The 1,974-nt window shown below is 58.3% G+C and overlaps 1 annotated feature.

The window, feature by feature from the left end:
- Positions 674-1,519: an enhancer, noted in NCBI's record as "H3K27ac-H3K4me1 hESC enhancer chr22:49355769-49356614 (GRCh37/hg19 assembly coordinates)". NCBI's record gives its function as "activates a minimal SCP1, AML or CMV promoter by ChIP-STARR-seq in primed H9 embryonic stem cells {active_cell/tissue: H9 hESC(primed)}" and the evidence as "EXISTENCE:reporter gene assay evidence [ECO:0000049][PMID:30033119]".

The raw sequence follows: 1,974 nt of genomic DNA, 5'->3' as shown, positions 1-1,974 counted from the left end.
CTGAGCTCAGCCTCTGAGCTGCGTGCTGAGGTCACAGCATAAGAAAAGATACTGTGCTACTAGGAATTCACGACTGAGTTGGGGGCTGGGAAAGAGAGATTGAACAACTTTCCACTGAACACTGCATAATTAAATGAGATTGTAAAAGGTGAACCCCAGAAGTGTGTGAGCACTGGCTGCCAGGATAGGAAATGAGTGCCTCCCAGCCCGGCTGACGCCAGCAAGACAGGGATCCCCTGCAATCCTTTGCCAAGGCTAAAGGGAGGCGGGGGAGGTGCCCAAGGGGCAGAGTGCATGCAGGTGCCCATCCTCCAGGGTGTAAACTGAGAGTGAGGATACCCTTACAGCTTTGCCTCTAGGTGCCTCCCTTACCTCTATGCCCAGCACTGCCTGTGACCTGGACAAACGGAGACTCCCTTCTCACCCCAGGCTTTCATCTTCACGTTTCAGACAATAGTCATTGAGTGCCATGTCATCCACATTTATGGCCCAGTGACAATGACTGGAGGAAACAACAAGGACGACAATGAAAACAAAGTCTGTTGAGGGGGAGAAACTGTAACCACTTAAGGAAGTGGGGACTACCGGGCTTTTCACTTACATCATAGCCAGCAGAATGGCACGCACAGCAATCAGGTCTGCAGGGAGGGGCTCCGGACTCCAGGCCCCAGGGACAGGAGGTCCGAGAAGAGACAGGTGAGTGAGCTCGGGGACGTGAACATCCCAAATCAGGTCTGCAGGGAGGGGCTCCGGACTCCAGGCGCAGGGACAGGAGGTCCAAGATGAGACAGCTGAGTGGGCTCAAGGACGTGAACATCCCAAATCAGGTCTGCAGGGAGGGGCTCCGGACTCCAGGCTCCAGGGACAGTAGGTCCGAGAAGACACAGGTGAGTGGGCTCGGGGACGTGAACAACCCAAATCAGGTCTGCAGGGAGGGGCTCTGGACTCCTGGCGCAGGGACAGGAGGTCTAAGAAGAGACAGGTGAGTGGGCTCAAGGTCGTGAACATCCGAAATCAGGTCTGCAGGGAGGGGCTCCGGACTCCAGGCCCCAGGGACAGGAGGTCCGAGAAGAGACAGGTGAGTGGGCTCGGGGATGTGAACATCCCAAATCAGGTCTGCAGTCAGGGGCTCCGGACTCCAGACCACAGGGACAGGAGGTCTGAGATGGGACAGGTGAGTGGGCTTAAGGACGTGAACATCCCAAATCAGGTCTGCAGGGAGGGGCTCCGGACTCCAGACCCCAGGGACAGGAGGTCCGAGCAGAGACACGTGCGTGGGCTCAAGGACGTGAACATCCCAAATCAGGTCTGCAGGGAGGGGCTCCGGACTCCAGGCCCCAGGGACAGGAGGTCCGAGAAGAGACAGGTGAGTGGGCTCGGGGACGTGAACATCCCAAATCAGGTCTGCAGGGAGGGGCTGCGGACTCCTGGCCCCAGGGACAGGAGTTCCGAGAAGAGACAGGTGAGTGGGCTCGGGGACGTGAACATCCCAAATCAGGTCTGCAGGGAGGGGCTCCGGACTCCAGGCCCCAGGGACAGGAGGTCCAAGATGAGACAGGTGAGTGGGCTTGGGGACGTGAACATCCCAAATCAGGTCTGCAGGGAGGGGCTCCAGACTCCAGACCGCAGGGACAGGAGGTCTGAGAAGAGACAGGTGAGTGGGCTCGGGGACATGAACATCCCAAATCAGGCCTGCAGGGAGAGGCTCCCGACTCCAGGCCCCAGGCTCCAGGGACACCAGGTCCGAGAAGAGAGAGGTGAGTGGGCTTAAGGACGTGAACATCCCAAATCAGGTCTGCAGGGAGGGGCTCTGGACTCCAGGCCCCAGGGACAGGAGGTTCAATAAGAGACAGGTGAGTGGGCTCAGGGACATGAACATCCCAAGTATGGACTATGAAATTATCCCGGGATGGAAACACTCCACCGGCCCTCACCCTCAACCCTGTCTCCTGTGGCCAGAGGAGATGGTGAGAG

Source organism: Homo sapiens, chromosome 22 (assembly GCF_000001405.40).
Source record: "Homo sapiens chromosome 22, GRCh38.p14 Primary Assembly".
Classification (NCBI taxonomy): Eukaryota; Metazoa; Chordata; class Mammalia; order Primates; family Hominidae; genus Homo; species Homo sapiens.
Note: the sequence above shows the minus strand (reverse complement) of the source record. Positions and strands in the feature narration are given on the sequence as shown.